This window comes from Homo sapiens, chromosome 1 (genome assembly GCF_000001405.40).
Source record: "Homo sapiens chromosome 1, GRCh38.p14 Primary Assembly".
Lineage (NCBI taxonomy): Eukaryota > Metazoa > Chordata > Mammalia > Primates > Hominidae > Homo > Homo sapiens.
The window spans coordinates 31,916,961-31,938,995 of record NC_000001.11 but is presented as its reverse complement, the minus strand read 5'-3'; the positions used below and the strand labels follow the sequence as shown (position 1 = coordinate 31,938,995).

Here is a 22,035-nt window from a genome sequence, read left to right as displayed (position 1 = left end):
ACTTGCCCAAGATCCTACATCCTGAAAGTCTGAATTTTGGCTTGTCAGGGACAGTTCTTAGGGTGGGTGTGTGTCTTGTGGGCAGAGCTGGGGGTGGCGTATTAATATCTTCGACGAAGATGCACACGCCATTCATTTGGGGCCTCAGGAAGGGCAGCCGAGAACTGAGCTGGCCAGGTTCCCACTTCTGAGTTGGAAATCCCCAAGCCCAGGACGTGGCGGCCACCCCGTCCCATCAGGATCTGACCCGAGGCCTTAGGGCCAAGTAGCGAGAAAGAACCCTTCGACCTTGCAGGTCACACCTCGGCTGCAGGCCCTCGACCCAGCCCAGGTGCGGATGGGCGGGGCGCAGCGTGGGCGAGCGACTCCCCAGGCCACGTTCTGCCTTCCCTCCCCGATCACATGGACTCGCCTTCCGTAGCCGGGAGTGCGGAGCGGAACGAACCACGAGGAGGAGGAGCGGGGGAGGCGCCCAGGGCAGTGGGTCAGCGCCCCGCGGGGCAGGTGGGCGGGCCCAACTGCCCGCGAGCCGGCCAGCCAGCCAGTCAGCGAACGCGGAGGGCGGGCCGGTGGCCCTGCGCGCCGCGCCCCGCAGCGCCCCCTGAGGGGCGGCGGCGGGAGCTGGTTCCGGCTGCGCGCGCAGCGGTGGTGGTGGCGGCGCGATCGGCCGGGCTGTAACCGTCGTCTGTCCGGGAGCGGCTGGAGCGGCAGCGGCGGCCGGGCACGGCGCGAGGTGACGCCACAGGGCAGCGGCGGCAGCGGAGGCAGCGGCGGCAGCAGGAGACGCAGCGGCGGCCGCAGCAGCAGCAGCAAGACGGACTCGTGGAGACGCGCCGCCGCCGCCGCCGCCGGGCCGGGCCGGGTGTCGCGCGCCGAGGCTGGGGGGGAGTCGTCGCCGCCGCCGCCACCGCTACCGCCGCCGCCGCCGCCGCCGAGGTGACTGAGGAGAGAGGCGCCTCCTCGCTCCCGCCACCGCCGGACTTCAATGCCCAGTCCCCAGCTCGCCAGCGTGAGTGCGCCCCTCCCGGGCGGCCCCCGCGCCGGCGCCGGGGGCCTCGGGGAAGGGGAGGGCGGGAGGCGCCGCAGCCATTAGTGCAGGCCGGAGACACGTCCCCGGAAGGAGGGCCGGGCCGGGCCGGGGCGGGGGAGCGAGGGTGGGTGAGCGAGGGGCGGGCTCGTGTGTGTGGAAGGGAGAGAGCTGTGCGAGCGTGGGGGAGAGTGAGTTGGTGAAGGGAGGGCGTGTGAGTGGGGGACAGGGCTGAGTGTCCGTGCGAGGAGGTGGGGGGAGTGGGAGCGCGTCGGGAGGCAGTGTCGATGTTGGGGGAATGTGGGTGAGGGCAGGGGAGGGTATGGGTGTGTGGGGAGCGTGTGGGCATGAGGGGTGGTGGTAGAATGAGTGAGTAAATGGGGGAGGAGAGAGTTGAGAGTGTGGTAAAGAGCGGGTGAGTGTGGGGGGAGAACATGGTGTGTGTCGGTGAGAAGGTGCGTGGCAGAGGCAGGAGTGTGGTAGGGTGTGCCGGCGTGTGTCCAGTGTGTGAGCAGGCATCCTAGAGGCCCTTCCCCTTGGTCTTTGTGTGTGGCGATAGTGAACCCTGGTGTGTTGGGTTGGGGAGTTCTTTCCGGGAGCATCTTGTCCGTGGGTCTTCAGGTTCAAGTATGAGGAAAGGGGGTATAAGTCTCCTCCAGCGGCACTATGATCTTCTGGCTCTGGGATTTTAATTTTTTTCCCCCAGAAAGGATGTGATGTGTTTTTTTGTTGTTGTTCTATACATTTTTTTCTCCCACGTTTCATGACTTCAAAGTAAATTTTCAAATTTGTCAATGATGCCATCCTATCCTAGTCTGGGGCCCCTGAGAGCTAACGAAAAGAAGTTTGTCTGTTGCCCAAAATCCTACACTCTGGCCTGTAGAGTGTTCAGGAGCATAAACTTTTGTAAAGTACTGCTAGTTTTTCAGGTGAAGAGTATTTTATTGTTAGGTAAATTGAACTGTAGTCTGGTTTATTATTTCCTGGAATTTGTCAAGAAATTAGCAGTGACTAGCAATTCTAGTGTCACTGTAGGCATTCAGCAAATGTTTGTCTGTCCGGAGTCGCCAAACTACATTACACTGCTGAGTTGGAATATGGTACTTGCTGTCATGCTCTGTAAGAGAGAGTAGTTTCAGAGGGAAGTGAGTGAAGTTATGCCTTGCTGAGTGTGCAAAAGGAGATTAAGGATACAGAATGACACATTATCAGGGCTTCAGAATCACTTGCCAGCACACCATTGTATTGGTGAAGATGGTGAGAAGTTGTTTGCTGGTATTCTGATCTTGGCATTTTTAAGTTTCATAATGAATGGACTAATTATTATCATGGACTTTTCCCATTCTTGTGTTGTAAAAGTAGGGATTCTTGAAGAGTAGTACCTTGATAGGGATTTTACACATTGATATAATCTTAAAAATGATGTTATCTTAAAAATAATGTCTCCTAGAAGTTGGTAGTCTTTCACTTGATCTTAGCCAAAAGGCCGAGAAGCGATAGAAGTTGGTAGTCTTTCAGTATAAGCAAAGAGTAGTATGGTCCTTTTGTTTTTTTTTTGTTTGTTTTTGAGATGGAGTCTCGCTCTGTTTGTTGCCCAGGCTTCCCGGGTTCAAATGATCTTCCCGCCTCAGCCTCCCAAGTAGCTGAGAATACAAGTGTGTGCCACCACACCCGGCTAATTTTCATATTTTTAGTAGAGATGGGGTTTCACCTTGTTGGCCAGGCTGGTCTCGAACTCCTGACCTCCAGTGATCCACCTGCCTTGGCCTCCCAAAGTGCTGGGATTAACAGGCGTGAGGGTGGTCCTTTTGATAGTGAACATAATAGAATTACAGGCAAAATCACTGATGTGTAATTAAAAGTTAGAAATTATATTTTTCGGCTGGGCAAGCTGGCTCATACCTGTAATCCTAGCACTTTGGGAGGCTGAGGCAGGAGGATCGCTTGAGCCCAGGAGTTCGAGACCAGCCTGGGTAACATGGTGACTCCATTTCTACAGAAAATACAAAAGTTAGGCGTGGTAGTGCGTGCCTGTAGTTCCAGCTATCCCGGAGGCTGAGGTGAGAGGATCTTGTGAGTCCAGGAAGTCAAGGCTGCAGTGAGCCAGTGAGACCCTCTCTCAAAAAAAATAAGAAGAAAGAAATAGTAAATAGTATTGTTACTATTCAGTGAGGGAAGGAATTGATTAGTATTAATTTCCTCCTGTGCTACAGGTGCTTTTTATATTCATTTAATTCTCACAACTACAAGAAAGGTGGTATCTTCATTTGCATCCATTTAGCTTATTTTGAATCACTTCTATTTGCCAGGCACTAGGGATACAGCGATGAGCTCCCATGGATTTACAGTGGTGAGAAGAAGAGATACAGAAACTCAAAAGGTTAAGTAACTTGTCCCAGGTCATACAGATAATAATTAGTGCTGGATTAAAAATCCAGGTCTTTGACTCTAAAGCCCTTGATTTTTCCAATACGTCATACTACTCTCTCAGTAGCTCCTCTTATATTGAGGTTTCTCATCAACGTGATGGCCTAGCAGCTAGTACTTAGGAGAGCTGTTGAAACTAATGGAGAAGGCTGGAGGCAAGGGGATCATTTAGGAGATGCTGACTGGAGGCTCTTTGGGGCCTAAGCTAGGCTTTTATGTGGGAGGAGATTATGCCTTGAAACTCTCTTGGGGCCCCGGGGTGTGTGCTTTGAGACAGTTTTTATGAGGCACCTGGGATATGTCTGCGTGAGGGAAGTCTGATTAAAGAAATGCAGCAGCGTCTTATGTTTTTTATTTTTTGGAAAAAGAGGAGAGTATATTTATTGGGGCCAAGAGTGAACTAGAACTTACCACTGTATCAAAGTTTCTCTGTTGAGCTGTGTGGGACACTTAAATCAGAAGAAGTGAGAAAATACACGTGAAAGCACTTTGTTAATTATAAATTGAACTACAGATTCAAAGTATTATTACCACTAAGATCTTTCTACTAAGGCAACAGATTTTGTAGCTGGAAAAGGCTGGCATTTTAGAACACCTTTATAGATGAAAAATAGTTTTGAACTGCTGAACGGGGTATTTTCTGACTCAGAACAGCAAAAGTCAGGCCACTCCCTCTGTGAGTCAGTCAAGTAAAATTTAATTTGAACGAACCAAATTTATAGGCAGAAACCATTTACAACATCATTGAACTTTGTAGCACTAGGAAGAGTAAATGTTTGAATACTTTTGTGTATAGCTTTAAAAAACAGTATGAGAGCCCCATATATAGTTGACTTGAAAAAAGTTTCAAACAAGGTAAATTGGATTTATTTTTCTTTAGAATTAACTTTTTATTCATTTTGTCCTATAAAGGTAGTATTTCCTTATGCAGTAATTAAGGAACACTTTACAATTTTCAGACACAAAGTTGAAATTTAGTAGGGATTTATTTTACAGGATTTGACTATACTTTTTCCTTTTTGTTGTAATGTGGGGGTTGGTAACCACTGAAGCCTAGAAAACGAATGTATTTACAAATAAGATGGAGAGGAGCAGGTGCATACATTTTTAGCTGTTGCTCTTGGTCTTGGAAGAATGAAGCTTAAGTTTTTGTGAAACTAAGTTTGGTTGATTTATTTGGGTGCTATTCCATCAACTATATTTGTTGAATAGAAGATGGGATCTTTAAAATTTTGCTTAAGAATCAGGATCCATAGTCTTTTTTGTTTGTTTTGGTTTTTTTTAAGACGGAGTTTTGCCCTTGTTGCCCAGGCTGGAGTGCAGTGGTGCAATCTTGGCTCACTGCAGCCTGCGCCTCCTGGGTTCAAGCGATTCTCCTGCCTCAGCCTCCTGAGTAGCTGGATTACCGGCACACGCCACCACGCCCAGCTAATTTTTTGTGTTTTTAGTGGAGATGAGGTTTCATAATGTTGGCCAGGCTGGTCTTGAACTCCTGACTTCAGGTGATCTACCTGCCTCGGCCTCCCAAAGTGCAGGGATTACAGGCATGAGCCACCGCGCGGCCCAGGATCCATAGTTTTAACATGGTGGACTTAGTTATGTTTATCGAATAGGGTGATGGTAGAGATCTTGGGGTACTGGTAAAGTTCAATATTACCCTTTCAGGGTTTAGGTTTCCACATTCCTTTCTTACGCCAAATCATGTATTGTCTCATTTGAAACTCAATAATCCTGTAAGTAGTATTCTTTTAGCTTTACAGATAAGGAAATTTATTTATAGATTGATTGTTGTTGGGTTTTGTTTTATTTTGTTTTCTTCCAGACAGAGTCTTACTCTGTTGCCCAGGCTGGAGTGCAGTGGTGCAACCTCAGCTCACTGCAGCCTCCACCTCCTAGGTTTAAGCGATTGTCCTGCCTCAGCTGGTATTATAGGCGTGCGCCACCACGCCCAGCTAATTTTTGTATTTTTAGTAGAGACAGGGTTTCGCTATGTTGCCCAGGCTGGTCCCGAACCCCTGAGCTCAGGCGTTGAGTTGCTGGCCTCAGCCTCCCAAAGTACTGGGATTTGATTATTAAATCCCAGGTTTTAGAATCTAAGTTAAAGATTATCAATAAATAGATAGCAGTGAATAATTTTTTTTTTCCTTTTAGGGGCTTAAAGTACTTAAATCTCTGTTGAACAGTGGATACCACCAGTTATAATTACTTTGGGAGATGGTGATTTGAGTCTCTTAATCTGTGAAATATTAGAAAAGTCTTGGCTAGGCACAGTGGCTCATTCTGGGAGGCAGACACGGGAGGATCACTTGAGGCCAGGAGTTCGAGACCAGCCTGGGCAACATAGAGACAACATCTCTACAAAAAATACAAAAACTAGCCAGGCATAGTGGTATGAACCTGTAGTTCCAGCTACTCAGGAGGCTGAAGTGGAAGGATCACTGGAGCCTGGGAGGTCAAGGCTGAAGTGAGCCGAGACTATGCCACTGCAGTCTAGCCTGGGAGACAGAGGGAGACCCTGTCTCAAAAAAAAAAAAGAAAAAATCTTTTCACCATTTTCATCTTTTGAACTATTAACTACGTATAGAGGTGTCAGTTAGCTTTCTCTCATTATCCTTTGTTTTATTGGCTGAACCTCATTCTATGGGCTCCCTTGACTCCCTGGCCACTGTCTTGGCACTTGAAGCCTTTTAGGTTGCTTAGTGTAGAGCTGAAGTGCATATTGTGTGAAAATCTTTTTGCTCTTTGGAGTGGTAGAGGTCTAGGCTCAACCAGAAACTGTCACTACCCTAGCACCTCCATGAAAGAAGCTGCACAGCAATACTAGCTGTCTGCTTTCCACAGTTCCCCATTGTGGAGTTACCAGGACTTAGGTGAGAGAATGACTCGTTTCCTGCACTGTTTGTTCAGTCAGTGTAGATTTACAGGACACAGAAATCTTTCCCAGAAAAATGACTGTGAGGAGTTGACAGATTATACAGATATTTTTTATGTGACTTGAATGTAGACGGTTTTTGTTTGCCTATACTGATTTTCTTGCCCACAGGTTATGTTAACACAGCATCCACTTCATTTTAAGTGGCCTAAACTAAATTTCATCATTTGAATATAAATTTACCTTACACAATGTTGGCTTTTTAAATTCTTGAGAATTTTAAGATTAGGCTTTTTTGTGACCCTTTCTTTGCTAGTTGAGCCTGGTTTGAAAAAATATTTTGAACATTTAGAACAGTCTTTACCTTTAGAGAAGTGGTGCATTTAATTCCTCTCATAGTATTTTTTATTTGAACTTTTAGTCTTCTCAAGACATTAATTCTTTTGGCATAAAATGTACACATGATATATTTGTTTTAGCAGATCAGATAAATTACTTTATATTTTTATTTCTGCAGTGGCCAGATATGTTGGCTGTTAACTAATGTATTGTTTGACAGGAATTCAAATTCACAATCAGGTCTGTTTTCTTCCAGTTGTCCTTTAGTTTTTGTTTAAATTTGACCAACTTTTTATTTTCCCCACCGTTTTACAGGAAACATTCACTAGGTTGTATCACCACAGTATTTGTAAATTGGATTTATATACAAATGTTGATATTTGTTGTTTTTAGTAGCAGAACAAATTGTTGTGTATTGTATTTTCCATTATTGGTGAAAAGCCTTTCATTAGGGGATGGAGTGACTGGTTAGTGCAGAAGGATATGAGTCACCAGCAGGATTTGTCAGCAAATAGAGAAGGATATGATGGAGAAACAATAGATTCTAGTGACATTATTTTCATTCCACATGTGTGGTTACAAACAAGTTTCCTTTGGTGATTAGTTTAAATTATGCAAATTGGGTCTTTCTGGGTGAAAAGTACTTTAAATATAAGTCACAGGCTATATTCTCAATTGTTTTCTTAGATTGGATCTTCATTTGGAGGTCATCAACAGGTAGAATTTAGTTAAACTCGTTATCTGTTGACTATGATTTAGTAAGTTGAAAGAAAATTTTTGTTAAGCTTTTTGGTAATTACGGAGCTGCTTGCTCAGTAGATCAGGGGAGGCCCATAAATATGGCAATATTTGCTCTTTTTCTCAGTGAGCAAAGAGTTGCTCTCTTACCACTACTCTGCTTTGAAATTCCTAAGAGCTTTTATTGCATTTGAATTGGTCTGAAATTCTCAGCCCGGTCAAGGCTTCTCCAGAGTTATCTAACCAAAGACTAAGCACCTTTCTCAAGTCACACTACCATGGTTCCTTCACTGTTTCTACCAGTTTTCTATTATAAAAGTTTTACCTTTCTTCAGAAGTCTTAATCCTACTCCATTCTTCTCACGCTTACTTTGTATCTTTAAAATTTGTGGTGGTAATATGAAAACTTAATACCAATCAAGCATTTTTCACCCACGTTGATTCTTCTAGGAGCTTGATCCTGGATAGTGTTTGTATGATGTGCACACGTCTCTGCAAATGCTTGTTTGAAGATTGGCTGTGCTGCATTTTGGTATAATTGGGAGGTGACATATTGTCCCTTATCTCAGTAAACATTTGGAGGAAGAGGACGAGAAAGATTGAATTTTGCATTCTTTAATTGGGAAGAAAAGGAAGGTGAATCCATGTTGAGCTGAGCTAGTGAGTAAAGAATAACTTCTTGACATGGCATTATAGAGTTATTTCACCATTTTTATTTCACGTTAATATGTAGTATGAAATATTTACTTTCACTGTGTGGTTTTTAAAGATCGTAATGTTACTGTGTTTTGTGAAAGGATGCCATTATTGGACAATTAGTGGATAGACAGTACATTTTAAAAGGCCACCAGCAGCTTCAAATAGAATGATTTGGATTCTTGACTGTTTATCTTGTATTGTACTCAGTACACAAACATATGTCTGTGAACTATAATGTAATTTATAAAAAGCAAGTTTAGGAGAGGAAGTGAAGTGTAACTTACCCAGTTATAGGGGAAACTTGGATCAGAGTGCCTGAACAGCAGAAACATTTCTGGGGCTCAAACAAAATAATTTATGTTGACAAGATGTATTTTGGGATGTTTTTATTCTGTGTCTTGTCCATAGAGAGTTTCCCTCACTCTCTTTGGGGATTAATACTGGAACAGGACCTTTAAATACGCTCAATACATTTGACAAAATGGGGAAATGAAAAGAGTTAAGTTGACCCATAAACTACTAAGTTCTGAGATATGGTATTTTTTATTTTTTTTTTGAGATGGAGTCTCACTGTCGCCCAGGTTGGAGTGCAGTGGCACAATCTCGGCTCACTGCAGGTTCCGCCCCCCCGGGGTTCACGCCATTCTCCTGCCTCAGCCTCCCTAGTAGCTGGAACTACAGGCGCCCGCCACCTCGCCCGGCTAATTTTTTGTATTTTTAGTAGAGACGGGGTTTCACCGTGTTAGCCAGGATGGTCTCGATCTGCTGACCTCGTGATCCGCCCGCCTTGGCCTCCCAAAGTGCTGGGATTACAGGCGTGAGCCACCACGCCCGGCCCGAGATGGTATATTTTAGGTAATGTGAACAGTAGCCGGAAAGTTTTTGCTTTGCATGCTACTCCTGTGCTGTAGGTTATTTTGAAAGGTGATTCAAATAACCTTTCCCAAGTATCTATTTTGCAACCTCAGGGAACTTGCAGCTGTTACAGCCATTTTAACTGTCCTGATATAGCTCAGAAAACATTTCAATGTGGTGTTGACAGGCTGACTCCAGGTGTTCTTTTGGATTTTTACTACTGAATTTGCTTTATTACAATTGAAGTTCAGAATCTTAAATTATTTATTAATGAAATTATTGATTCAATGGTTCTTGGGTTAATGTACATACAGTGATGTTGGAAACTAAATTAAAATGATTAAGACTTAAATTGTTCTCTGGAAAAATTAGCCTTTTGAGATTAAAGAAGGAAGGATGGGAGGAGGAAATAAAACAAATGTTAGGATTTAACTTTCTGGGGAAGCAACTGAATTGGAGATAGTTCCTATTCTTAAGAAGGTTACCAAAGTTATTTAGGAAAAGAATGTGCTTAAACTTTATAATAAAGGGGCTTGGGAGTCTTAAAATGCACATAAACTGAAGTCTTTAAACATAAACCCCATAGAAAAGATAGCCATGATACTTTTGTCACAAAAGTATGGATGAATAGAATCCATTTAGTAAAACTATTTAATGTAATTTTTAAAAGATTAACTGAAAACAATTAGATTAATACTCAATATAAGGATTGTGCTGTTAGGATTTTTTAATGTTATTACCAGTGCTATTCCAATACTTTTTAAAGAGAAAGTCGGCGTTGGCCATAGTGCTGTTAACCTGCATTTAAATTTTATTTATGAAAGGAAAAATACCAATTTTAGATAAGAGATTCATTTTGAGAATTGGAAATCTTTAGAGGAAAAATGGAGTACAAAATTGTAAAGTAAATATTTTTAAGTGTGGCCTGAAAATATTTAATGCAATTTTTGTCTTATAGTTATTTGTAGAGGTAGAAATTACTAGAAAAGGACAACCGTTAATCACCGGGGTACATGCACATCTAAAACCACTCCCTTTTCATTTTGGTGGGAACAGGGCCCACAGGACTTCAGTGAATAACTGTCACTGTTCTCAGAAGCAGGTGCGATTGTTGACTAATTGCTTCCCTTATCTTTCTGAGTGGCTGGCCATGTATCTTCTACTGGTTTTGAAATGTTAAGACATTTTCCCACCATCAAGGTCATGATTTCTTTTTATAGAACTGATTATTGATTTCTGTACTGGGACTTGAGTCTCAAGTTCCCTCCTTAAATGAGGAAGTGGAAAAGTGGGAATAACCAAGGGAGTAACTATGAAATTTTTTTTTTTTTTTTTTTTTTTTGAGACAGAGTTTCACTCTGTCACCCAGGCTGGAGTACAGTGGCACGATCTTGGCTCACTGCAACTTCCGCCTCCCAGGTTCAAGCAATTCTCCTGCTTCAGCCACCTGAGCTGGGACTACAGCCATGCGCCACAATACCTGGCTAGTTTTTGTATTTTTGGTAGAGACAGGGTTTTGCCATGTTGGCCAGGCTGGTCTTGAACTCCTGACCTCAGGTGATCCGCCCATCTTGGCCTTCCAAAGTGCTGGGATTACAGGCGTAAGCCATCGCGCCCGGCCAAAAAATTTTTTTTAACAGTAAAAAAAGCATCTTATTTTTGGCTTATTCACTGACATTTTGGATCCTTATTTGTGTAGAATTGAATTGATACCTCTTTATCACCTTCCTAGGACTGTAGTTATTGTGGGTAAGGAGGGATATTAATATTAATATTATATTGTATATAATTATATTATGCTATATATTATATTATTATATTTATATATTATAATATATAAATATATGTTATAATATATATTTGTTATATATAATATAATATTAATTTAAATCTAAGTTTCAAGGACTAGATTATTTTAGTTTGATAAATGGAACAGTAGAGGGATAAACAAAGGTAGGTAGTGCAGAGGATAGATAGAACTGTTGTTCTATCTACTTGATTTGGGAGTAGGTTATAAGAGATGAATAAATTTTCAGTTTGAGACCAGTTAATCAGAAGATGCGTGTTTACTAATTAAACGCTTTACTAATTAAAGGTGAGGTTTTTTAGTTTACAAGTTTTCAGACACTTTTTTCCCCCAAGTGGTCAAAATACAATAGGTACAGTAGCATTTTACAGAGGACTTTCCCTACTACTTTGATGGTTGAGAAGATTTTACAATCTATTGTCTGAATAGCCTCTGAATATTAAGTTGGACTCCACAAGTTCTGTAGTTACTCAGAGCCTTGACTGTTTTTCATAAACTCTATATCCAGTCTGTGGACAAATCCCACGTCAAAGTGTATCTTGAAACTGACCCCTTCTTATCTTCCCTACTGCTGTTACCCTGGTCTAAGCTACCATTATATCTACTTGTCTCCTTGCTTCCACCCTTACCATTTTTGTAATGTTTCCACATAGCAGATAGAGTGATCCTTTGTAAAACCTAAGTTATCACTCTTTTTTTCTCTCCTTTTTCAGCTTTTATGTTAGGTTCAGTGTGTACATGTGCAGGTTTGTTACGTGGGTAAATTGAATGTCGCTCGGGTTTGGCGTACAAATGATTTTGTCACCTCGTCACCAGTTAGCAAGCATAGTACCTGATAAGTAGTTTTTCAAGCCCCACTCTCCTCTCACCCTCCACCCTCAAGTGGTCCCCAGTGTCTGTTGTTCCCCTCTTTGAGTCTATGTGTACTCAGTGTTTAGCTCCCACTTATAAGTGAGAACATGCGGTATTTGGTTTTCTGTTCCTGCGTTAATTCGCTTAGGATAATGGCCTCCAGCTGCATCCATGTTGCTGCAAAGGACATGATTTCATTATTTTTTATGGCTTTGAGTTGTCACTCTTGAGTGAAACCCTTCATTGGCTTCATTTGGAGAGGCATCATTTTCTGAATAAAAGTCAAATGCTTTTAGTGGCCTATAAGGCTCTCTTTTATTTCTCTGACTCTATTCATTCCATTGTCCTCTCTGTTCCAGTAGCATTGGTTCCCTTGTTCCTAGCATACTCTAAGCTTGTCCCCACCTCATAACCTTTGCAGCAGTTAATCCTCTGCCTAAAATGCTCCCCAAATACCTGTTTGGCTCACACTCTCAGCTCTTGGATAAAAAGTCACTTTTTTCAGTGAGGCCTTTCCTGTTAGCCTTATTTAAAATTGGAACCCCCCTCCCTCTGGCACTGCTAATTCCCCTACTTCTAATTTTTCTCCAGAGCAGTGACATTTTTATTTCTTTTTTTCTGCCCAGTAAAGTGTAAGATCCATCCCAACAGAAATTTTTGTTTTGCTTATTGCTCTTGCACCTGTAAGAGTATGTGACCCATAGTACATGTTCTGTAAATATTTGAATTAATGAAAGAATTTGAGGAAAATGCCTAGCTCTTCAGGAGGATAAATTCTTTACTGTTGACAGATTAGATTTTTTATACTTATTTTAAGGGGAAATAAAAGTGGCTATTGACATGAAGGGAATTTGCTTTAGGAAAAAAATGTTGCAAGGTGTTAGTTGTATATTACATTATTAGGCTTTCATGTTGACTGATTGTTGAAACCAAGCTGACTCAAATTTGCATTACTTCCTGTAAAATTTCTGGTAAGAAAAGTAGCAGTAAATATATGCATACTCGTTTTTTTTAGACCTTTGCTTTTAGACTGTATTTCCTTAAATCTAGAATTCTTTTATTGTACCTTTATATTTTAATGTGCTGTTTTAATTTGGTGAATACTGGCGTAGCTCACCAAATTAGAGGGTTTATTGTATCATTTAATTTGGAAATGTAAAGGGATGATTTCTTAGAAATCCTGATGTGAGTGGATTGATAGGAGAGATAAATATATATATATATATATATTTTTTTTTTTTTTTAATTTTTTGAAACGGAATCTAGCTCTGTGGCCAGGCTGGAGTGCAGTGGCGCAATCTCAGTTCACTGCAACCTCCGCCTCCTGGGTTGAAGCGATTCTCTTGCCTCAGCCTCCCGAGTAGCTGGGATTACAGGCATGCGCCGCCACGCCCAGCTAATTTTTGTATTTTTAGTAGAGATGGGCCAGTATGGCTTCGATCTCCTGACTTCGTGATCCACTCACCGTGGCCTCCCAGAGTGCTGGGATTACAGGCATGAGCCACTGTGCCCGCCAATTGATAGGAATTTTAAAAGGATGCCCGGTAAAATTGGGTTAAATTAAATGAGGCTGCTTTTATAAAATTCCCTTATACTTCTAAATTCACCTTTTTTTTTTTTGAGATGGAGTCTTGCTCTGTCGCCCAGGCTGGGGTGCAGTGGTGCGATCTTGGGTCACTGCAAGCTCTGCCTCCCGGGTTCACGCCATTCTCCTGCCTCAGCCTGCCAAGTAGCTGGGACCACAGGCGCCCACCACCACACCCGACTAATTTTTTTGTATTTTTAGTGGAGACGGGGTTTCACCGTGTTAGCCAGGATGGTCTCTTATCTCCTGACCTCGTTCGTGATCTGCCCAACTCGGCCTCCCAAAGTGCTGGGATTATAGGCGTGAGCCACGGCGCCCGGCCTCTAAATTCACTTTATTTGTAGTTAGAATTACAGTTGCCAAGGCAGGACGTGAATTTTACTCATTTAGCCTCTTTAACAGGAAAGAAAACACTTTATGGAATTGTGTAGGTACAGACCTGCCTGGGACAGAGGACTAGCCCTCTGGAGCCTCTTTCTAATCCTATGATTATAGAACTGTTAAGAACGTAGTTTGATTGTAAATCATTATAGGGTTCTTATCACCTTAGAATTTTTTTTAAAGGTAATACCATATGTACATGGGAAAAGTTAAAACAGTTCAAAAGGTATATGTTAAGATGTAGTAAATCGTGCTGTTGACCTCCAGCCTTCAGTCCTGTGTTCCTGGCCCTGCCCCAACCCTAGGAAACCACTGTTATCTCTTATCTTTGTAATCTTCCAGATATCCCATGTGCATGAATGCATACAGTACTCACACATATTTCTAAGCACACTGTTGATACTGTCATGTACTGTGCCTTTTTTTACTTATTAGTGTCTTTTAGCTGTCATTTCATATCAGTTCATACAGATGTTTTCTTTTTAACCTCTGGATAGTTTTTTCTTTTTTTTTATCCCTTATCTCCCTCCTTTCTTAATTTAAAAGGACTTCTCTGTCACAGACTATCCTTTCTCATCCTTCATTGAAGTTGTATTCTTTTGTTAAAAATGGAAATGTTGCCTAGGAAATGGAAATATCCCAAATTCAACATTTTAAAAGTTAGGTTTTATGATAAAATTAAATGGAGAGGGAGTATTTGGGTGTATATTTGAATTTACCACTGTTATATGTCAAGTAAACTAGCCTTTTTCATCACTTGGTAAGTTAAAACAATAATTTATTTAAGTAGATAGAGCAGAATTAATGTCAGAGAGACAACTTTAGGAGAATTTTCCTGTATGGTGTACATGCACTGAATTTATGTTAAAACATAGGGTTCTGCAACTTTTGAGTACTTTCTAGCTGTGATAGGTTGTTTATGATTTTTTACACACTGTTTGCTTTGCATTCCTAAGTGTGTCACAGGAATTAACATTAGTTTATCTGAATTGACAGGTGCAAAAATGTAACTGTTGATGTGTAGTTGAACTCTTGATGGAGGGGGAGGGAACAGAAGCTTGTTTTTATCATGTATCTGTTAAAAGTGCTAGAACATACTGTTTCTTTTGGCAGAAATTCCTTTGCTGGGTTCTCAGTATTAAGAATTGAAAATCTTAATAATGAATTATCTTTATTCCTGGAAATGGTCTTTCCAAAATGAGGTTGGGAGAGTAAGATGGGATAAAGCTTGTTCTGTTTGCTGAGCAGACACACACTGGAGACTAGGTAGAAAACTTAATGCTGGAGCTGTAGCCTTTAAGCCTGGCTGTCACTACAATGCAGGTCTTTCAGTGCCTTTACTCAGCTGACACACATTTGCAGTGATAACGTCATTGAACCAAAGGGATTCAAATAGGTTAGAATTTCCTTGTGTTTTGCTCTGCATTGCATGCAAACTATTGTTCTTTGAGTAGTTACTTTAATAAACTCCACCCAGTCTCCCACCTTATTTTAAGGTCGCAGAGTTGGAGATGAACATCCAAGCAGATATTTGGAAAAAAAATTATACTTGTATGGAAGATTGCAACTTGAAAAATATGTGGGGCTGGACTTAGTGGCTCACGAGGCCTGTAATCCCTGTGCTTTAGGAGGCCAAAGCTGGAGGATCGCTTGAGCCCAGGAGTTTTAGACCAGCCTGGGCAACATAGCAAGGCCCCCGTCTCTCCAAAAATACTTTAAAAATATTAGCTGGGCGCAGTGGCATGCACCTGTAGTCCCAGCTACTCAAGAGGTTGAGGCAGGCTGGGCGCGGTGGCTCACGCCTGTAATCCCAGCACTTTGGGAGGCCGAGGCGGGCGGATCACGAGGTCAGGAGATCGAGACCATCCTGGCTAACACGGTGAAACCCCGTCTCTACTAAAAATACAAAAAATTAGCCGGGCGTGGTAGCGGGCGCCTGTAGTCCCAGCTACTCGGGAGGCTGAGGCAGGAGAATGGCGTGAACCCGGGAGGCGGAGCTTGCAGTGAGCCGAGATCGCGCCACTGCACTCCAGCCTGGGCGACAGAGCAAGACTCCGTCTCAAAAAAAAAAAAAAAAAAAAAAAGAGGTTGAGGCAGAAGGATCACTTGTGCCCAGAAGTTTGAGGTTGCCGTGAGCTATGATTGCACCACTGCATTCCAGCCTGGGCGATAGAGCAAGACCCTGTCTCTGAAAAGAAAAGAAGAGGCTGGGTGTGGTGGCTCACGTCTGTAATCCCAGCACTTTGGGAGGCCAAGGTGGGCAGATCACGAGGTCAGGCCTTCAAGACCAGCCTGGCCTTTGGTGAAACCCTGTCTCTACTAAAAATACAAAAATATGCCTGTAATCACAGCTACTTGGGAGGCTGAGGCAGGAGAATTGCTTGAACCCAGGAGGCGGAGGTTGCAGTGAGCTGAGATTGTGCCACTTAACTCCAGCCTGGGCAACAGAGTAAGACTCTCTCTCAAAAAAAAAAAAAGATAAAAAGTATTTGGGCCGGGCACGGTGACTCATGCCTGTAATCCCAAGACTTTGGGAGGCCGAGGCAGGAGGTTGGTTTTCATCCAGGAATTCGAGATCAGCCTGGGCAGCATAGTGAAACCTTGTTGCTACAGAAAATCAAAAATTAGCCTGGTGGTGTGCACCTGTGTTCCCAGCTCCTCAGGAGCCTGAGGTGGGAGGATCGCTTGAGACAGGAGGTTGAGGCTGCGGTGAGCCATGATCGCGCCACTGCACTCAGCCTGGGTGACAGAGTGAAAACCTGTCTCAAAATAAATAAAAGAAAGAAAGAAAGAAAGAAAGAAAGAAAGAAAGAAAGAAAGAAAGAAACAAACCTGGGTTTTTGTTCTTAAGCTGCTACCAGTTAGCAGTGCGATCATACTTAAGCCATTTTAACCTCTCTGAGCCCCAAACTTTGTTTTAAATTTTTTTTTTGACAGAGTTTCTCTCTTGTTGCCCAGGCTGGAGTGCAGTGGCACAATCTTGGCTCCCTGCAACCTCTGTCTCCCAGGTTCAAGCAATTCTCCTGCCTCAGCCTCCCGAGTAGGTGGGAATACAGGCATGTGCCACCACGCCCAACTAATTTTGTATTTTTAGTAGAGATGGGGTTTCTCCATGTTGATCAGGCTGGTCTTGAACTCCTGACCTCAGGTGATCTGCCTGCCTTGGCCTACCAAAGTGCTGAGATACAGGCGTGAGCCATCACGCCCGGCCAACTTTTTTATTTTTTAAAAGGTCAGGGTAGTTGATGTTTCTGTTGGTTCTAAAATTTCTTGACTGTACAAGGAGTACTTTATGAAATGTTTTCCTCTGTAATCTAAGGTGGCTATGTTTTGGGGTTACAGTTAGAATTTTGAGGTAGGAAGAGCGATGGAATGTATTTTTGTTTTTAGTTTTGAGGGTAGACATTTTGTGTTTTTACTGTAGCGAGTAACTCATTCTGCTGTAGTATTATTGAAGTTCTTAGAATGCCATTTTGAATTTCATTTGTGTCTTTTATATTATTTTAGTTTTATGTTTGTGTCAGTGGTTATATAATCACAAGTATGCAATTTACACAATAAAATGCCATAAGAGTATCATAAAAAAAGCTTGAGGATAGATGAATAGTGTTGAAGCTTTGTAGGCCTAGCTACTTACCTATATATTTCAGTTTCTTCCTGAAAATGGTTCCGTAGTCATTATCTTTCATACCTATTTCTGTCTGGTTACAGCTATTTTTTAGAGACTTCTAAATAAGCCTTTATTGGTAACTTAGGGAAAAGGCAAGTGAAAGAACTTAAGCTTTGTCCCTTTTTCCAGAGGAATTTATGATTATGTTGATGTTCTCTGACTGAGCCAGCTGTAAAGATTACTGTGTTTCAAAGCAGCAGGCCTAAAAATAATAATAAAAATTCTGTCACTTCTTGCTTTGTTTTTTTGGTAGGGATTAATGTTTGGGGAGAAGTGTGTGTGAATCAGTGACCTTCAAATAATTTTGTATTCTTGAGGCAATTATTATGTGACAAATAATAAAAAGGTAAACTGAAATAGAAAGGAGAGGATGAGGTTTATACATTAGTTGAGTCAGGAGGCATTTGTGGTACATTGGAAAAAACGGGACTAACAGAAGACTTGGGTTTGAATTTGGGCTCAGTTAAAAACTTCCATTGTGTGATGTTAGGCAAGTCACTTCATTTTTCTGATCTTCTTTCCTCATTCCTTATATGTTGTAACAACTACTCAAGACTTGTGAGGAAAAGGGGAAATGATTTTTAAAAAATCAATTCTTTATTTACGTAACAAGTTGGTTATGTCCACTGCATTGTGTGAAACATTACAGTATCATATAGGAAAGTACTGTCAGTACAGTGTTGGATCACAGGATTTTTTGAGAGTGCCTTATGAGTTAGTCTCATCATTGAGGGCCAACACATATACTTTGGATAGAAAGAATAAAATCCTCAAAGTGAAATTTTGATTAATATCCTCTACCCATTTATAGGTACACCTTATTTTAACCAAAGAGTATATGTGAAGGACCTAACCATCAAAGCAGAAAAATAAGGAGATCTTTGTGAAGTTTATGAAGAGTTCATGGGCCAGGCGCAGTAGTTCACGCCTGTAATCCCAGCACTTTGGGAGGCCTAGGCAAGCGAATCACCTGAGGTCAGGAGTTCGAGATGAGCCTGGTCAACGTGGTGAAGCCCCGTCTCTACCAAAAATACAAAAATTAGCCAGGTGTGGTGGTGGGCACCTGTAATCCCAGCTACTTGGGAGGCTGAGGCAGGAAAATAGCTTGAACCTGGGGGGCGGAGGTTGCAGTGAGCTGAGATCTCGCCATTGCACTTCAGCCTGGGTGACAGAGCAAGGCTCCGTCTCAAAAAAAAAAAAAAAAAAAGTTCATGGAAGTTTTAAGTATCTAGTAATCATTTAAAAATTATTTGAGTTAAAAGTAATCGAGTCTCTGATTTTTTTTGTTTTTTTGTTTTTTGAGACAGAGTTTTGTTCTCATTGTCCAGACTGGAGTGCAGTGGCACAATCTCAGCTCACTGCAACCTCCACCTCCCAGGTTCAAGCAATTCTCCTGCCTCAGCCTCCCAAGTAGCTGGGATTACAGGCATGCGCCACCATGCCTGGCTAATTTTGTATTTTTAGTAGAGACGGGGTTTCTCCATGTTGGCCAGGCTGGTCTTGAACTCCCGACCTCAGGTGATCTGCCCGCCTCAGCCTCCCAAAGTGCTAGGATTACAGGCATCAGCCACCACACCTGGCTCAAGTCTCTGATTTTTTTTTTTTTTTTTTTTTTTTGAGGCAGAGTTTTGCTCTTGTTGCCCAGGCTGGAGTGCAATGGTGCCATCTTGGCTCATCACAACCTCTACCTCCCGGGTTCAAGCGATTCTCCTGCCTCAGCTTCCTGAGTAGCTGGGATTACAGGCATGCACCACCACACCTGGCTAATTGTGTATTTTTAGTAGCGACGGGGTTTCTCCATGTTGATCAGGCTGGTCTCAAACTCCCGACCTCAGGTGATCTGCCTGCCTCAGCCTCCCAAAGTGCTAGGATTACAGGCATCAGCCACCACACCCGGCTCGAGTCTCTGATTTTTAAAACTCTTCATAATACCCCTTTATCCAATTCTTCATAGATGGTAATAACGTATAATTGGTGACATTTCACATCGCTTTGGGCTTATAAAGAATGTATTTTGACTTCAGGCATTTGTGTTTACTGTGCCATCAGCCTCTAGTTCATTTTACTTATTCTTTTCTTCTCCAGGTTTTTCGTTGGAATATACGTTGCACATTTATGGCGATTCTGAGTGTGAGGGCAGACTTCTGCCAGGCTCAGCACAGCATTTTCGCTGACAAGTGAGCTTGGAGGTTCTATGTGCCATAATTAACATTGCCTTGAAGACTCCTGGACACCGAGACTGGCCTCAGAAATAGTTGGCTTTTTTTTTTTTTAATTGCAAGCATATTTCTTTTAATGACTCCAGTAAAATTAAGCATCAAGTAAACAAGTGGAAAGTGACCTACACTTTTAACTTGTCTCACTAGTGCCTAAATGTAGTAAAGGCTGCTTAAGTTTTGTATGTAGTTGGATTTTTTGGAGTCCGAAGGTATCCATCTGCAGAAATTGAGGCCCAAATTGAATTTGGATTCAAGTGGATTCTAAATACTTTGCTTATCTTGAAGAGAGAAGCTTCATAAGGAATAAACAAGTTGAATAGAGAAAACACTGATTGATAATAGGCATTTTAGTGGTCTTTTTAATGTTTTCTGCTGTGAAACATTTCAAGATTTATTGATTTTTTTTTTTCACTTTCCCCATCACACTCACACGCACGCTCACACTTTTTATTTGCCATAATGAACCGTCCAGCCCCTGTGGAGATCTCCTATGAGAACATGCGTTTTCTGATAACTCACAACCCTACCAATGCTACTCTCAACAAGTTCACAGAGGTAAGATTGTGGCATGGTCTACTTTTTGGATTGATTTCTAGGTAAAATCCCATTAAAAAATTCTCTTAGCACAAAGCCATTTATTCTGTATTTGGAGTCATCCTGCCAATCCTGGTTTGAATTGGGTTGGGTTAGTTACAGCAGATTTTTTCAAGAACATTTTGTGAAATTTGGGGACTGTAGAGATATCTAGTACTGTTTTCTCTGTGTTCTTTCTACATTTATTGACAGGTTTTTTTGGTCAAACATTCAGTAATGATAATTAACATTTATTGACCACGATATGCACTTAGCATTATAACAAACAATGTTACACATTATGCAACGAGCAGTGTTTGTGCTTAAGGTCACAAATACAAAAACCCTATGAGGTGTAGCTACCATTATTTCCCTCTTACCAATGAGGAAACAGGTTCAGAGCCATTTAGTAATTTGCCTAATGGCACATAGTATGTGGTGGAACTAATGTACTTGCCTAGGTGTCTGACACTAAAAACCATTCTGTATGTACTTCAGATATTCTAACCACCTTTGATGAAAAGGCACCCCCAGACTACTTCGTTGTAATAATCGTATACAAGGGTCCAGAAACTTGGGTGAAGGAAAGGTGGTAGAGGTAGTATTTTTATGTCAGATCCTTAATATTTTTTCTATTGGTAGGAGAAAAAACTCTTTGTACTTCTTTGAGCAAGCATTTGAACATAAGTTTTTTTTTTTTTTTGGGAGATGGAGTCTCGCTCTTCGCCAGGCTGGAGTGCAGTGGCACTATCTCGGCTCACTGCAAGTTCCCCCTCCCGGGTTCACGCCATTCTCCTGCCTCAGCCTCCCTGATAGCTGGGACTACAGGCACCTGCCACCACTCCCGGCTAATTTTTTGTATTTCTAGTAGAGACGGGATTTCACCATGTTAGCCAGGATGGTCTTGATCTCCTGACCTTGTGATCTGTCACCTCGGCCTCCCAAAGTGCTGGGATTACAGGCATGAGCCACCGTGCCCAGCCCTTTTTTTTTTTTTTTTTTTTGAGACGGAGTGCAGTGGCACGATCTTGGCTCACTGCAACCTGCACCTCCCAGGTTTAAGCGATTCTCCTGCCTCAGCTCCCAAGTAGCTGGGACTACAGGCGCGCGCCACCACACCCAGCTAATTTTTGTATTTTTAGTAGAGACGAAGTTTCACCGTGTTGGCCAGGATGGTCTTGATCTCTTGACCTCGTGATCCGCCTTCCTCGGCCTCCCAAAATGCTGGGATTACAGGCGTGAGCCACTGTGCCTGACCAGAACATAAGCTTTTTAATCATTCTTGGGTTGTTGAGTTTAAATGATTTTTCTTGCTGTATTTATGGAGTAGAGTTAGAAAGGTGGGTGAACTCTTAGTGATTTTCATTTTATAGATGGGAAAACTGAGACCAAAAGAGGATTTGACTTGCTTAAGGTCACAAATACCATAAAAAATTTTATCGCAACTTTTCAATGAATGGCTATTACAGAGTTTATTTTAATGGGATTTTATTTGTATTTTGAAACATTTTTAAAATTCCTGACAATACTTCTACCTTTCTTGAGTCTGTATTATAAGAAGGCCTTTTTGTGAAAAATGAAGTCCTTTAGCAATTAAAATAATTTTACACTTTAGATAACTAAATGATGGACCCTTCTTATAGGATATCACTGTGCCTGCTTATTTATACTTATAATTCCCTGAGCTTCTTAACTTTGTATACACAGCGTACAAGTTGATTCTACGCCTGTATGCCCTCAGATTGTTCAGTCACCTTTAAGCCTGGCTGAATTATGTGGTACTATTTTCAACCTGTGGATTCCTTGGCCATAGTCTCCAGAAGTGGCACAGGCCACTGTCCTCCTGCAACTATAAAAAAGATATTGGTAGCCCCTTGAAGATAGGTAGTCACTGGGTTAGGGATTCACCGTAGGGAGAGTTTTAAAGGAGCAAGGCTTCTGGCTATAACTGCATTAGCTGTCTTTTTAATATACCACTTTTTTTCTTAATT

General features: G+C 42.0%; 2 protein-coding genes across 7 annotated transcripts in view, besides 7 other annotated features; both read left to right on the top strand.

Annotated features, from left to right (window-relative positions):
* Positions 42-311: an enhancer, noted in NCBI's record as "active region_661". NCBI's record gives its function as "activates an Ori minimal core promoter by ATAC-STARR-seq in GM12878 lymphoblastoid cells {active_cell/tissue: GM12878}" and the evidence as "EXISTENCE:reporter gene assay evidence [ECO:0000049][PMID:35858748]".
* Positions 372-751: a silencer, noted in NCBI's record as "silent region_581". NCBI's record gives its function as "represses an Ori minimal core promoter by ATAC-STARR-seq in GM12878 lymphoblastoid cells {active_cell/tissue: GM12878}" and the evidence as "EXISTENCE:reporter gene assay evidence [ECO:0000049][PMID:35858748]".
* PTP4A2 (protein tyrosine phosphatase 4A2) overlaps positions 628-22,035 on the top strand; it is a 31,948-nt gene continuing 10,540 nt past the window's right edge. For 3 of the 6 annotated variants that reach the window (NM_001195101.2, NM_001195100.2, NM_080391.4), the window contains exons 1-2: positions 628-1,009; positions 19,338-20,026. In NM_001195101.2, the coding sequence (NP_001182030.1) occupies positions 19,931-20,026 (96 nt within the window). In that variant the 5' untranslated portion in view covers positions 628-1,009; positions 19,338-19,930. Of the gene's footprint in view, positions 1,010-1,177; positions 1,242-7,853; positions 8,064-19,337; positions 20,027-22,035 lie in introns of those variants that run through there. The other 3 variants (NM_001369859.1, NM_001369858.1, NM_001369860.1) reach the window with 3 other exon arrangements.
* Positions 902-1,241: a silencer, noted in NCBI's record as "silent region_580". NCBI's record gives its function as "represses an Ori minimal core promoter by ATAC-STARR-seq in GM12878 lymphoblastoid cells {active_cell/tissue: GM12878}" and the evidence as "EXISTENCE:reporter gene assay evidence [ECO:0000049][PMID:35858748]".
* Positions 954-1,125: a silencer, noted in NCBI's record as "fragment chr1:32403472-32403643 (GRCh37/hg19 assembly coordinates)". NCBI's record gives its function as "represses an EF-1alpha promoter that drives an FKBP-Casp9 reporter gene in an ReSE screen in K562 erythroleukemia cells {active_cell/tissue: K562}" and the evidence as "EXISTENCE:reporter gene assay evidence [ECO:0000049][PMID:32094911]".
* Positions 1,422-1,471: an enhancer, noted in NCBI's record as "active region_660". NCBI's record gives its function as "activates an Ori minimal core promoter by ATAC-STARR-seq in GM12878 lymphoblastoid cells {active_cell/tissue: GM12878}" and the evidence as "EXISTENCE:reporter gene assay evidence [ECO:0000049][PMID:35858748]".
* Positions 6,085-6,144: an enhancer, noted in NCBI's record as "active region_659". NCBI's record gives its function as "activates an Ori minimal core promoter by ATAC-STARR-seq in GM12878 lymphoblastoid cells {active_cell/tissue: GM12878}" and the evidence as "EXISTENCE:reporter gene assay evidence [ECO:0000049][PMID:35858748]".
* Positions 15,019-15,562: an enhancer, noted in NCBI's record as "H3K4me1 hESC enhancer chr1:32389035-32389578 (GRCh37/hg19 assembly coordinates)". NCBI's record gives its function as "activates a minimal SCP1, AML or CMV promoter by ChIP-STARR-seq in naive H9 embryonic stem cells {active_cell/tissue: H9 hESC(naive)}" and the evidence as "EXISTENCE:reporter gene assay evidence [ECO:0000049][PMID:30033119]".
* Positions 19,368-19,433, top strand: LOC128031832 (uncharacterized). Its single transcript, NM_001414727.1, has one exon. It carries the CDS (start codon positions 19,368-19,370, stop codon positions 19,431-19,433), a length of 66 nt encoding a protein of 21 aa, NP_001401656.1.